Raw genomic sequence first — 12,973 nt, 5'->3', positions numbered from 1 at the left:
GCAGTGAGCCAAAATCATGCTACTATACTCCAGCCTGGTGACAGAGTGAGACTTCATCTCAAAAAAAAAAAAAAAAAGAAAAAGAAGTGCAATTCTTATATATGCTACAACATAGATGAACCTTGAGGAAGGACATTATACTAAGTGAAATAAGCCAGTTGCAGAAGGACAAATATGTTTCCACTTATGTGAGGAACCTAGAATAGGCAAATTCATAGAGACAGAAAGTAGTTTCCAGGGGCTGGGGGTAGGGGAGAATAGAGAGTTAGTGTTTAATGGGTATAGACTTTCTGTTGGGATTATTTTTTTAAAAGTTCAGGGGATGGATAGTAGTGATGGCTACATAACAATGTAAATGTACTTCACACCACTGAATCACACACTTAAACATGATTAGGATGGTACATTTTTGTGTATTTTACCATAAGAAAAAACATTTAGGGCTGGGCAAGGTGGCTCACACCTGTAATCCCAACACATTGGAAGGCCGAGGTGGGAGGATCATTTGAGCCCAGGAGTTTGAGACCAGCCTGGGCAACATAGTCAGACCCCACCTCTACAAATTTTTAAAAATTAGCCAGCCCTAGCAGTGTGTGCCTGTGGTCCCAGCTACTCAGGAGGCTGAGGTGAGAGGATTGCTTTAGCCTGGGAGTTCAAGGCTGCAGTGAGCTGTGATCATGCCACTGCACTCCAGCCTGGACAACAGAGCGAGACCCTGTCTTGAAACAAAGAAAATTAGTATGATAAAGCACAGACCATGTATATAATAAAGATACTTCAACCATCTGAAGGAGTGTTCTGTTCTCAAGCCACATAGAGAACTACATACTGTCCCAGAAAAAAGCACAGGATCCAGGAAAGCTGGAAGGGCTAGCGTTTGGTGGCTGAGGTCAGCAAAGGTGACTGCTGTGTTCATGGCATCCCATGGGTACTTATCATCTTCATAGCCACGACCGGCAGGGTCCTTCTCAACAGACTGACCTTGTGCTGTGTATATCACATACATTATCACTGAATTTTTGAAACACCTTATAAAGTAGGCATTATTCCCATTTATAAGAATTTAATACCTTTTTGAAATTTCCTAAGTAAGTAGTGCAGCCAGCACTTAAACCCTACATCATCAGACACCAAAAGTCAAGTACTTTCCTTAGTACATCCCAAGAATAGCTTTCAAGAAGAATTATATGGATAATCTGGAGTAAAAGGAATAGGAATTTCTTCATTTAGGTCAGCGAGATGTGCTGACAAGATGACCACAAATGCAGGAATGTTGGAGTGGTTAATATGTAGATGAGAAATCATGAAAGAGTGGAATAGCAATGCAAGTTTCTGGGGCTACTTCAGTAGGGCTATTTGGGACTGATTGAGGGGGCAAAAATTAAAGCCAGAAAGTTCAGTGGAGTAAATGTCCTAGTGGCCACAGAGAAACAAAGATTTCCAAAATGAGATGCTAAGTGAGAAACAGCAACTGAGGAGAGAAGTAATGTTTCCAGGATCACAATGGGCATAAGGAGAATTGTTCTTTTAGACTCTAGGTGAGCTTGTAGTAATCCAAGGACTGGTGATTTAGGCCACTGAGTTCTGGCTTTGAGTACATCTCTAATCCCTAAACCTTCACTAAGAGGGAGGTGAAGGGAGTCAGGTGTGCCACATGTCTGCTACTGAAAAATGCCTAGATGGGAAAGGAGTTTGAAATATTGTCCTAAAATGAAGTTTCTGAGTTAGATGGGCCGAATTTCACCATGTGTTCACTGTTATTACTCTGTATAAAATCAAGAGATTTAAATGAGATTAAGATCTTCGATTAGCTTGCTGAAATATTGAAAACTAAAACCAGGGCCGGGCGTGGTGGATCACACCTGTAATTCCAGCACTTTGGGAGGCCGAGGTTGGTGGATCACTTGAGGTCAGGAGTTTGAGACCAGCCTGGCCAACATGGTGAAATCCTGTCTCTACTAAAAATTCAAAAAAATTAGCTGGGCTTGATAGCAGATGCCTGTAATCCCAGCTACTCAGGAGGCTGAGGCAGGAGAATTGCTTGAACCTGCGAGGTGGAGGTTGCAGTGAGCCGAGACCATGCCACTGCACTCCAGCCTGGGTGACAGAGTGAGACTCCATCTCAAAAAAAAAAAAAAAAAAAAAAAAGAAAAGAAAAAAGAAAAGAAAACTAAGAACCAATTACCTCTAAGGCATACATTGACTTTGGTTAATGTGCTGACATACTGAGCCCCAAACTGGCATGTATAATCTCTGGTCACTTCTACACCAAAGCTATTACCCTAACTTGGCAGTGAAGGCCAAGATAAGAAGAGTCCGGAATTATGAAGCATGAAGCATAGAATTTCAAAACTGAGAAAGAAAAATATCTTTTTCCCAAACACTTTCATTTTATAGGTGTGGAAATTTGAGGCCCAGGGAGAGTACCTTGCCAGCAATTCTGTAGTTAATTCATGGCAGAACTGAGATGGGACCCCAGATCTCAGATCAGAGCCCTTCCATTTTATCATATTGCTCTTTGCATAAACCAGTAGCTTAAGCAAGTAAGAATTATTCTCTGAATGAACAACAGTGAATTCAGTTAACACGTAATATAAAAGAAGAAGGGGGTGGCTGGCAAGGTGGCTGAATAGGAGCAGTTCTGATCTGCAGCTCCCAGCAAGATCAATGCAGAAGGCAGGTGATTTCTGCATTTCCAACTGAGGTACCCGGCTCATCTCATTGGGACTGGTTAGACAGTGGGTACAGCCCATGGAGGGTGAGCAGAAGCAGGATGGGGAGTCACCTCACCCAGAAAGTGCAAGGGGTCAGGGAACTCCCTCCCCTAGCCAAGGGAAGCTGTGAGGGACTGTGCCATGAGCAATGGTGCACTCCAGGCTAGATAGTATGCTTTTCCCACGGTCTTCACAACCTTCAGACCAGGAGATTCCCTTGGGTGTCTATACCACCAGGGCTCTGGGTTTCAAGCACAAAACTAGGTGGCCGTTTGGGCAGACACTGAGCTAGCTGCAGGAGTTTTTTTTCCATACCCCAGTGGCTCCTGGAATGCCAGCAAGACAGAACTGTTCACTCTCTGGAAAGGGGGCTGAAGCCAGGGAGCCATGTGCTCTAGCTCAGCAGAGCCCAGCAAGCTAAGATCCACTGGCTTGAAATTCTTGCTGCCAGCACAGCAGTCCGAAGTTGACCTGGTATGCTCCAGCTTGGTGGGGGAAGGGGTGTCCGCCATTACTGAGGCTTGAGTAGGCAGTTTTCCCCTCACAGTGTAAACAAAGCCACTGGGAAGTTCAAACTGGGTGGAGCCCACTGCGGTGCCACAAAGCCACTGTAGCCAGACTGCCTCTCTAGACTCCTCCTCTCTGGGCAGGGCATCTCTGAAAGAAAGGCAGCAGCCCCGGTAAGGGGCTTATAGATAAAACTCCCATCTCCCTGGGACAGAGCACCTGGGGGAAGGGGCAGCTGTGGGCGCAGCTTCAGCAGACTTAAATGTTCCTGCCTGCCAGCTCTGAAGAGAGCAGCAGATCTCCTAGCACAGCGCTGTAGCTCTGCTAAGAGACAGACTGCATCCTCAAGTGGGTCCCAGACCCCCGTGCCTCCTGACTGGGAGACATCTCCTAGCAGGGGTCGACAGAACACCTCATACAGGAGAGCTCTGGCTGGCATCTGGAGTGTGCCCCTCTGGGATGAAGCTTCCAGAGGAAGGAAGGCAGCAATCTTTGCTATTCTGCACCCTCCACTGGTGATATCCAAGCAAACAGGGTTTGGAGTGGAAGTCGGCAAACTCCAGCAGACCTGCAGCAGAGGGGTCTGACTATTAGAAGGAAAACTAACAAACAGAAAAGAATAGCATCAACATCAACAAAATGGACGTCCACACAAAAACCCCATCTGAAGGTCACCAACATCAAAGATCAAAGGTAGATAAATCCACGAAGATGAAAAACCAGCATAAAAAGGCTAAAAATTCCAAAAACCAGAATGCTTCTTCTCTTCCAAAGGATCAAAACTCCTCGTCAGCAAGGGAACAAAACTGGACGGAGATTGAGTTTGACAAATTGACAGAAGTAGGCTTCAGAAGGAGGGTAATAACAAACTCCCCCGAGCTAAAGGAGCATGTTCTAACCCAATGCAAGGAAGGTAAGAACCTTGAAAAAAGGTTAGAGGAATTGCTAACTAGAATAACTAGTTTAGAGAAGAACATAAATGACCTGATGGAGCTGAAAAACACAGCATGAGAACTTCATGAAAAATACACAAGTATCAATAGCCGAATCAATCAAGCAGAAGAAAGGATATCAGAGATTGAAGATCAACTTAATGAAATAAAGTGTGAAGACAAGATTAGAGAAAAAAGAATGAAAGGAAATGAACAAAGCCTCCACGAATTATGGGACTATGTGAAAAGACCAAACCTACGTTTGATTGGTGTACCTGAAAGTGACAAGGAGAATAGAACCAAGTTGGAAAACACTCTTCAGGATATTATCCAGGAGAACTTCACCAACCTAGCAAGACAGGCCAACATTCAAATTCAGGAAATACAGAGAACACCACAAAGATACTCCTCAAGAAGAGCAACCCTAAGACACACATCGTCAGATTCACCAAGGTTGAAATGAAGAAAAAAATGTTAAAGGCAGCCAGAGAGAAAGGTCAGGTTACCCACAAAGGGAACCCCATCAGACTAACAGTGGATCTCTCTGCAGTAACCCTACAAGCCAGAAGGGAGTGGGGGCCAATATTCAATAAACATTCTTAAAGAAAAGAATTTTCTTTTTTCTTTTCTTTTTTTCTTTCTTTTTTTTTTTTTTTCTTTTTGAGACGGAGTCTTGCTCTGTAGCCCAGGCTGGAGTGCAGTGGTGCAATCTCGGCTCACTGCAACCTCCGCCTCCTGGGTCCTGGTTCTAGCAATTCTCCTGCCTCAGCCTCCCGAGTACCTGGGATTAAAGGAACGCGCCACCATGCCCAGCTAATTTTTGTATTTTTAGTAGAGACAGGGTTTCACCATGTTGGCCAGGCTGGTCTTGAACTCCTGGCCTTGTGATCTGCCCACCTTGGCCTCCCAAAGTGCTGGGATTTCAGGCGTGAACCACCACGTCCCACCTCAAGAAAAGAATTTTCAACCCAGAATTTCATATTCAGCCAAACTAAACTTCATAAGCAAAAAAGAAATAAAATCCTTTACAGAAAAGCAAATGCTGAGAGACTCTATCACCACCAGCCCTGCCTTACAAGAGCTCCTGAGGGAAGCACTAAATATGGAAAGGAAAAACTGATACTAGCCACTGCAAAAACATACCAAATTGTAAAGACCATTGACACCATGAAGAAACTGCATCAACTAATGGGAAAAATAACCAGCTAGCATCAAAATGACAGGATCAAATTCACACATGACAATATTAACCTTAAATGTAAACAGACTCATAAGCTCAAAATAAAGGGACAGAGGGATACCAAGCAAATGGAAAGCAAAAAAAGAAGCAGGGGTTGCAATCCTAGTCTCTGATAAAACAGACTTTAAACCGACAAAGATCAAAAAAGACAAGGGCATTACATAACGGTAAAGGTATCAATACAACAAGGAGAGCTAACTATCCTAAATATATATCCACCCAATACAGGAGCACCCAGATTCATAAAGCAAGTTCTTAGGGACCTACAAAGAAACTTAGATTCCCACACAATAATAGTAGAAGACTTTAACACCCCACTGTCAGTATTAGACAAATCAACGAGACAGAAAAGTAACAAAGATATTCAGGACTTGAACTCAGCTCTGGACCAAGTGGACCTAATAGACATCTACAGAACTCTCCACCCCAAATCAACAGAATATACATTCATCTCAGCACCACATTGCACTTATTCTAAGATTGACCACGTGATTGGTAGTAAAGCACTCCTCAGCAAATGCAAAAGAATGGAAATCATAACAAACAGTCTGTCAGACCACGGTGCAATCAAATTAGAACTCAGGATTAAGAAACTTACTCAAAACCATACAACTACATGGAAACTGAACAACCTGCTCCTGAACGACTACTGGGTAAATAACGAAATCAAGGCAGAAATAACAGGAGAAAGTGGGAAAGATCTAAAATCAACACCTAACACCACAGTTAAAGAACTAGAGAAGCAAGAGTAATCAAATTCAAAAGCTAGCAGAAGACAAGAAATAACTAAGATCAGAGCAGAACTGAAGGAGATAGAGACATGAAAAACCCTTCAAAACATCAATGAATCCAGGAGCTGGGTTTTTGAAAAGATTAACAAAATAGATAGATCACTAGCCAGATTAATAAAGAAGAAAGAGAAGAATCAAATAGACACAATAAAAAATGATAAAGGGGATATCACCACTGATCCCACAGAAATACAAACTGCCATCATAGAATACTATAAACACCTCTATGCAAATAAACTAGAAAATCTAGAAGGATAAATTCCTGGACACATACACCCTCCCAAGACTAAACCAGGAAGACGTCAAATCCCTCAATAGACCAATAACAACTTCTGAAATTGAGGCAGTAATTAATAGCCTACCAACCAAAAAAAGCCCAGGACCAGACAGTTTCACAGCCGAATTCTACCAGAGGTACAAGGAGGAGCTGGTACCATTCCTTCTGAAACTATTACAAACAACAGAAAAAGAGGAACTCCTCCCTAACTCATTTTATGAGGCCAGCATCATCCTGATACCAAAACCTGGCAGAGACAAAACAAAAAAAAGAATATTTCAGGCAAGTATCCTTGATCAACATCGATGTGAAAATCCTCAATAAAATACTGGCAAACCAAATCCAGCAGCACATCAAAAAGCTTATCCACTACGATCAAGTCAGCTTCATTCCTGGGATGCAAGGCTGGTTCAACATATGCAAATCAATAAATGTAACCCATCACATAAACAGAACCAATGACAAAAACCACATGATTATCTCAGTAGATGCAGAAAAGGCCTTTGATAAAATTCAACACCGCTTCATGCTAAAAACTCTCAATAAACTAAGTATTGATGGAATGTATCTCAAAATAATAAGAGCTATTTATGACAAACCCACAGACAATGTCATACTGAATGGGCAAAAGCTGGAAGCATTCCCTTTGAAAACCGGCACACGACAAGGATGCCCTCTCACCACTCCTATTCAACATAGTATGGGAAGTTCTGGCCAGGACAATCAGGGAAGAGAAGGAAATAAAGGATATTCAAATCGAAAGAGAGGAAGTCAAATTGTCTGTTTGCAGATGACATGATTGTATATTTAGTAAACCCCATTGTCTCAGGCCCAAATCACCTTAAGCTGATAAGCAACTTCAGCAAAGTCTCAGGATACAAAATCAGTGTGCAAAAATCACAAGCATTCCTATCCACCAATAATAGACAAACAGAGAGCCAAATCATGAATGAACTCCCATTCATAATTGCTACAAAGAGAATAAAATACCTAGGAATACAACTTACAAGGGATGTGAAGGACCTCTTCAAGGAGAACTACAAACCACCGCTCAAGGAAGTAAGAGAGGACACAAATAAATGGAAAAACATTCCATGATCATGAATAGGAAGAATCAATATCATGAAAATGGCCATACTGCCTACAGTAATTTATAGATTCAATACTATCCCTATCAAGCTACCATTGACTTTCTTCACAGAATTAGAAAAAAACTACTTTAAATTTCAGATGGAACCAAAAAAGAGCTCGTATAGCCAAGACAATCCTAAGCAAAAAGAACAAAGCTGGAGGCATCATGCTACCTGACTTCAAACTATATTACAAGGTTACAGTAACCAAAACAGCATGGTACTGGTACCAAAACAGATGGATAGACCAATGGAACAGAATAGAGGCCTCAGAAATAATGCCACACATCTACAACCATTTGATCTTTGACAAACCTGACAAAAACAAGCAATGGGAAAAGGATTCCCTATTTAATAAATAATGTTGGGAAAACTGACTAGCCATATGCAGAAAACTGAAATTAAACCCCTTCCTTACACCTTATACAAAAATCAACTCGAGATGGATTAAAGACTTAAATGTAAGACCTAAAACCATAAAAACCCTAGAAGAAAACCTAGCCAATACCATTCAGGACATTGGCATGGGCAAAGACTTCACGACTAAAACACCAAAAGCAATGGCAACAAAAGCCAAAATTGACAAATGGCTAATTAAACTAAAGAGCTTCTGCACAGCAAAAGAAACTATCATCAGAGTGAACAGTCAACCGACAGAATAGGAGAAAATTTTTGCAATCTATCCATCTGACAAAGAGCTAATATCCAGAATCTACAAGAAACTTAAACAAATTTACAGGAAAAAAAAACCCCATCAAAAAAGTGGGCAAAGGATGTGAACAGACACTTCTCAGAAGAAGACATTTATGTGGGCAAGAAACATATGAAAATAAGCTCATCATCACTGGTCTTTAGAGAAATGCACATCAAAACTACAATGAGATACCATCTCATGCCAGTTAGAATGGCAATCATTAAAATGTCAGGAAACAACATGCTGGAGAGGACGTGGAGAAATAGGAACACTTTTACACTGTTAGTGGGAGTGTTAAATTAGTTCAACAATAGTGGAAGACAGTATGATGATCCTCAAGGATCTAGAACCAGAAATACCATTAGACCCAGCAATCCCATTACTAGGTATATACCCAAAGGATTATAAGTCATTCTACTATAAAGACACATGCACACGTCTGTTTATTGGAGCACTACTGACAATAGCAAAGTCTTGGAACCAACCCAAATGCCCATCAATGATAGACTGGATAAAGAAAATGTGGCACATGTACACCATGGAATACTACGCAGCCATAAAAAAGAATGAGTTCATGTCCTTTGCAGGGACATGAATGAAGCTGGAAACCATCATTCTCAGCAAACTAACACAGGAACAGAAAACCAAACACCGCATTTTCTCACTCATAAGTGGGAGTTGAACAATGAGAACACATGGACACAGGGAGGGGAACATCACACACCAGGGCCTGTGGGGGATGGGGTCTAGGGGGGAACAGTATTAGGAGAAATACCTAATGTAGATTACTGGTTGATGGGTGCAGCAAACCACCATGGCACATGTATACCTGTGTAACAAACCTGCATGTTCTACACATGTACTCCAGAACTTAAAGAATAATAATAAAGAAGAAGAAAAGTGGAATGTACATTGTTTTTAAAAAGTTTCAGCATTTTGCAAAAACACATGGTTCTGGATGAAGAGCTGCACAGTGCTAGGGGAAATTCTGAACGGTGTTCAAGTCCTCAGCACAGCCAGCAGCAGCAGGATGTGGTTTTTAATGCTCGCTATGAAAGTAGTGCTTCAGATGGTGCTTATTCTTATTTTTAATTTATTTTTGTATTGGATTAATTTATTTTTATATATTTTAATTGACAAAAATTATATATATGGTGTACAACTTGATGGTTGATACACATATACATTGTGAAATGAGCATCACAGTCAAGCTAATTAACATTATCACTTCTCCATAGTTACCATTTTGTAGATGCACATGTATTTATTTTATTTCTGAAATAATTTTATACTTACAGAAAAGTTGCAGAAATAGTACAGAGTTCACATACACCTACCACTTTGCTTCCCCTAATGTTAAAAACTTATATAACCATAAGCTGGGCATGGTGGCTCACGCCTGTAATCCCAACACTTTGGGAGGCTGAGGTGGGCAGATCACTTGAGGTCAGGAGACCACCTGGCCAACATGGTGAAACACCATCTCTACTAAAAATACAAAAATTAGCAGGACATGGTGACACGTGCCTGTAATCCCAGCTATTCTGGAGGCTGAAGCATGAGAATTGCTTGAACCTGGGAGGCGGGGGTTGCAGTGAGCAGAGATCGCACCACTGCACTCCAGCCTTGGCGACAGAGACTCCATCTCAAAACAACAACAACAAAACTTATATAACCATAGTTCAATAATCAAGATGAGGAAATTAACTTTGATACAATACGGTGAATTAAACTACAGCCCTTTGATTTTTCACCATCTCCTCCCACCCCCTACCATCTATGTCGCCTCAGTTTCCTCCAATCTGTGACAGTTGTTCCGTATTTCCTTGTCTTTCATGGACTCTTGATGAGTACTGGCCAGCTGTTTTGTAGAATGATCCTCAGTTTGGTTTTGTCCACGTTCTCCTTATGATTAGACTAAGGTGATGGGTTTGGGGGAAGAAAATCACAAGGTGAAATGCTCTTGTTATTTCCTATCGGGGTACAGGATGCCAACGTGGCTTATTAGTGATATTTACCACGATCACTTGATTAAGGTGGAATCTCCCAGGTTTCATTACTGTAAGTTACTTCTCTCCCTTTTTAAATGATAAACATCTTGGATAGATGCTTTGAGACCGTGCTAGCATCCTGTTTCTTCTCAAACTTTTGCCTGCTGATTTTCACATTCATTGGTGGATCTAGTCAACAGTTACTACTGTGGTGTTCTAGTGGGGATTTTGTATGTTACTCATTCCTTCTACATTGATTATTGGAATTCTATAAGGAAGAGTTGTCCCTTCTCTTAGACATTTATTTGTTGAATTATTTATTTATATCCATATGGATTTATGGGTTTTAGTCCTATGGGATTGTGTTAGTCAGTTCTTGCCTTGCTATAAAGGAATACCTGACACTGTAATTTATGAAGAAAAGAGATTGGCCAGGCGCAGTGGCTCACGCCTGTAATCCCAGCACTTTGGGAGGCCAAGGCGGGTGGATCATTTGAGGTCAGAAGTTCGAGACCAGCCTGGCCAACATGGTGAAACCCCGTCTCTACTAAAAATACAAAAATTAGCAGGGTGTGGTGGTACACACCTGTAATCCCAGCTACTGGGGAGGCTGAGGCAGGAGAATTGCTTGAACCTGGGAGGTGGAGGCTGCAGTGAGCCAAGATCATACCACTGCACTCCAGCCTGGGCAACAGAGTGAGACTCCATCTCAAAAAAAAAAAAAAAAAAGAAAAGAGATTTATTTTGGCTCATGGTTCTGCAGGCTGTACAGGAAGTGTGATGCCAGCATATGCTTCTGATGAGGCCTCAAGAAGCTTCCAATCATGGTGAAAGGTGAAGGGGAGCCAGAGAGTCACATGGCAAGAGAGGGAGCAAGAGTCAGGGGAGGTCCCAGACTCCTTTAAACAACCAGATCTCCCATGAACTGAGCAAGAACTCACTCATCACCAAACAATGATCCAATTGCCTCCCATGATCCAATCGCCTCCCACCAGGCCCCACCTTCAACAATGGGAATTACATTTCAACATGAGATTTGGAGGGGACAAACATCCAAACCATATCATTCTGCCTCTGGCCCCCCAAATCTCATGTCCTCAATTTCAAAATACAATTATGGGCTGAGTGCAGTGGTACATGCCTGTGATCCTAGCACTTTGGGAGGCCGAGGCAGGTGGATCACCTGAGATCAAGAGTTCGAGACCAGCCTGGCCAAATGGTGAAACCTCATCTCTACTAAAAATACAAAAAAATTAGCTGGACGTGGTGGCGAGCATCTGTAATCCCAGCTACTTGGGAGGCTAAGGCAGGAGAATCGCTTGAACCTGGGAGACAGAGGTTGCGGTGAGCCGAGATTGCGTCATTGCACTCCAGCGTGGGCAATAGAGCAAAAACTCGTCTTGGCCGGGCACAGTGGCTCATGCCTGTAATCTCAGCACTTTGGGAGGCCGAGTTGGGCAGATCACCTGAGGTCAGGAGTTCGAGATCAGCCTGACCAACATGGCGAAACCCCATCTCTACTAAAAATACAAAAATTAGCTGGGCATGATGGTGGGTGCCTATAATCCCAACTACTTTGGAGGCTGAGGCAGGAGAATCGCTTGAACCTGGGAGGCGGAGGTTGCAGTCAGCCGAGATTGCACCATTGCACTCCAGCCTGGGCGACAGAGCAAAACTCCGTCTCCAAAAAAAAAAAAAAAAAAAAAAAAATCATGCCTTTGCACTAGTTCCTCAAAGCTTTAACTCCAGCATTAACTCGAAAGTCCCAAGTCCAAAGTCCAAAGTCTCGTTTGGAGATGAGTCCCTTTCACCCATGAACCTGTGAGATCAAAAACAAGTTATTTACTCCCAAGATAAAATGGTGGTACAGGCAACTGGGTAGACATTCTCATTCCAAAGGGGAGAAATTAGCCAAAAGCAGCAGGCAATAGGCCCCACACAAGTCTGAAATCCAGCAAAGCAGTCATTAAATCTAAAAGCTCCAAACTAAGCTCCTTTGACTCCATGTCTGCCATCCAGGGCACACAGGGCTCCAAGCGCCTTGGGCACCTCCTCCCTTTGGCTTTGCTGGATGTAGCCCACACGGCTGCTCTGATGGACTGGAATCCAGTGCCTGCGGCTTTTCTGGGCTCAGGATGCAAGCTGCTGCTGGTTCTACCATTCTTGGATCAAGAGGGCGGCAGTCCCCTTCTCACAGCTCTACTAGGTGATATAATCTAGTATTATCATTATTTTCTTGCTCAAGTTGTTCCAGGTTTGGCCATTGAGAGCTTTTTCGTGGTGGTTCCTGTGACCTTTTGACATGTCCCCATCTTTTTGGAGCACTTTCCTATTGTCTGGTGCCACAAGACAGTCCAGGCCCTTCTTTTTGTTTGTTTGTTTGTTTGTTTGTTCTGGAGACAGAGTCTCACTCTGTTACCCAGGCTGGAGTGCAATGGCGTGGTCTTGGCTCACTGCAACCTCCGCCTCCTGGGTTCAAGCAATTCTCCTGCCTCAGCCTCTCAAGTAGCTGGGACTACAGGCATGTGCCACCACACCCAGCTACTTTTTGTATTTTTAGTAGAAACAGGGTTTCACTTTGTTGGCCAGGCTGGTCTCAAACTCCTGACCTTGTGATCCTCCCACCGCAGCCTCCCAAAGTGTTGGAATTACAGGTGTGAGCCATCGTGTGTTGCCAGCTCCAGGCCCTTTTTGTCC

At 42.7% G+C, this 12,973-nt stretch overlaps 2 annotated features.

Moving 5' to 3' along the window:
- Nucleotides 3,149–3,649: an enhancer, noted in NCBI's record as "H3K27ac hESC enhancer chr13:41286412-41286912 (GRCh37/hg19 assembly coordinates)". NCBI's record gives its function as "activates a minimal SCP1, AML or CMV promoter by ChIP-STARR-seq in naive H9 embryonic stem cells {active_cell/tissue: H9 hESC(naive)}" and the evidence as "EXISTENCE:reporter gene assay evidence [ECO:0000049][PMID:30033119]".
- Nucleotides 9,202–9,331: a silencer, noted in NCBI's record as "silent region_5285". NCBI's record gives its function as "represses an Ori minimal core promoter by ATAC-STARR-seq in GM12878 lymphoblastoid cells {active_cell/tissue: GM12878}" and the evidence as "EXISTENCE:reporter gene assay evidence [ECO:0000049][PMID:35858748]".

This window comes from Homo sapiens, chromosome 13 (assembly GCF_000001405.40).
Source record: "Homo sapiens chromosome 13, GRCh38.p14 Primary Assembly".
In the NCBI taxonomy this organism is placed as follows: Eukaryota; Metazoa; Chordata; class Mammalia; order Primates; family Hominidae; genus Homo; species Homo sapiens.
Note: the sequence above shows the minus strand (reverse complement) of the source record. Positions and strands in the feature narration are given on the sequence as shown.